Genomic DNA, 2,067 nt, shown 5'->3' on the forward strand with positions numbered 1-2,067 from the left:
TGAAGACCGAAGAGTGTTTGTAAAGTGCCTGGCATTTGTAGAGGTTCTAAACCTGGCACCAGTTATTGCTGGGAATGATCATTTTCCTGCAAACCTAATGAAATATGTCCCAATGTGTCTGTTTTTGAGAGGGGGAAACTGAGGTTTGGGGGAACTGATCTGTCCAGGGTTACCTAGCAAGGAAGGATTCCAGCTGGGCTGTTTTACCCTCTAGGGCTGCCTGGCACCCCTCCTCCCACTGGTCCTCCTCAGACCCCACCACAGGGTCCTCCCACCCAGGTGGCTATACCCCCACCCTGGCCTGCAGCTCAGGCCTTGGCAGAGCCAGTTTCTCAGGGCAACCCCCTATCTGGAGCTGGCTTCCTGGCCGTTGTCATGGGAACTGCTTCCTTGTTGCCAAATGCTGCTGACCGGGGAAACTGAGTTGGACGGATGGGATGGATGGGACGGATGGAGGGAGGACCGGAGCTGGGTGGGCAGGAAGGAAGAGCCAGGAGGGGAGACAGCTTCTGGGTGGGCCTGGATAGGCAGCACGAGGGGGAGGGGGAAGGTCATCTCTGTCCCATCAATGGGCATGCAGTGGGCACTCGGAGTGAGTCTCTTCAGGGTGCCAGGCAGGAGTGGGTGACCAGAGGGACTGGGGAGGAGGGGGCAGTCAGGGCTTGAGGCAGGCCGCATGGCGGCCTGTAGGTGGGAAACGCTCCCTCTTTTCCTGAGTGAGGGGCTTGACAGTGACTGCCCCCAAGCCTGTGCCTGGAGAACTCCATGGACCCCGGACTCCCTGCAACTTTGGCCAAACTGGGGAGTCTGGGGCTGCTCTCCATAGCCCCGTGGCTGGCCTGACCCCACACTCCTGGGGGATGGGGCTCCTCCTCCTCCCGCTCCCCGACTCAGGCCTGGACACTTGGGGGGGTCTGTGAGGCTGTGGAGTGGAGGCCAGCCAGCCCAGGACACGGGCCCAAGGCAGCCTGTGTGGGTCCAGGGTTCCCGGCCCAGCCCGTCCCTTGACTCGGAGAGTGACCTTGGAGCTTCGCTGCTGTCTCAGCATGGCCTCCATCTCCTGGGCTTTCGGGCTGTGTTTGGGCCTGAAATCTAGCTTCGGGGCCAGTGCCTCTCTTCCCCTGCTGGGATGGGACAGGGCTGGCTGGTCCCTGGATACTGGAGCTGCAGAAACATTTGCTCTCAGAAGCAGAACATGCTGCACAAAAATAGCAGCCTGGTGACGGATCCGCCTGCCGGGAACATATGCTGCCTCGGGTGGGGGCGGCGGGCGGTGGGGAGGGGCGGGGAGGGGCGGGGGCCTCTCTGCTGGAGGCATGGGTGCGCTGGGGTCCCTGTCGTTGGCTCTGGGTGGAGAGGGCCAGGCCAAGCTGCTGCCCGAGGCTCTCCTGGGTGCCAGGTGCTGCCTGTCTGTCCTCAGGGTCGCTCTGAAAGGACCTGCCAGGCAGGTGCTCTTGTCCCTCCCCAGATAAGGACGCCCAGGGAGAGAGGCCTCAGGACTGCCCGGTCACACAGAGGAGGGGTAGAGCCAGGGCTGGCCTGCCTGGCACCAAGGGAGGGGCCCTGCCTTTGGCACAGGTGGGACAGATTCACCCCCTCATGCATTCGCTCATTCATCAGTTACTGTGCTGGGTGTGAATTCTCATCTCACTTCCCTCACTGCGGACCCCTGGTGTCTTACCTGGGCCCTGTGGAGCTCTGCATCCTCAAGCGGAGAGTGGACGCCTCGCCACGAGCCCTGCTGGCCGCACAGGAATGGCACCCTTAGCCTAGTCCCCCATTCCTGCAGGCTGCCTGGAGAGGGGCCGGCGAGGCCTCTCCCCCTCCACCCCCCGTTCTGCCTCACTGGCATGGTGGCATGGACTCGGAGCCGGGCTGCTGGGTCTGCTTCTGGCCCCTGTAATGGATCTCTCTGTGTGCCGTCCATGTCCTCAGCTGTGAGATGGAGGAGTAGTCACCCCACCTTAGTGAGTAGTTGGGATAATCCAACTGGGCCATGGATCTGGAGCCTGAGAACAGGTGGGCTGTTATGACTGTCAGGATCCATCAGCTCCGGGGCACCCACTC

General features: G+C 62.1%; 1 annotated feature.

Annotated features, from left to right (window-relative positions):
- Positions 275–860: an enhancer, noted in NCBI's record as "H3K4me1 hESC enhancer chr8:142545064-142545649 (GRCh37/hg19 assembly coordinates)". NCBI's record gives its function as "activates a minimal SCP1, AML or CMV promoter by ChIP-STARR-seq in naive H9 embryonic stem cells {active_cell/tissue: H9 hESC(naive)}" and the evidence as "EXISTENCE:reporter gene assay evidence [ECO:0000049][PMID:30033119]".

This window comes from Homo sapiens, chromosome 8, assembly GCF_000001405.40.
Source record: "Homo sapiens chromosome 8, GRCh38.p14 Primary Assembly".
Lineage (NCBI taxonomy): Eukaryota > Metazoa > Chordata > Mammalia > Primates > Hominidae > Homo > Homo sapiens.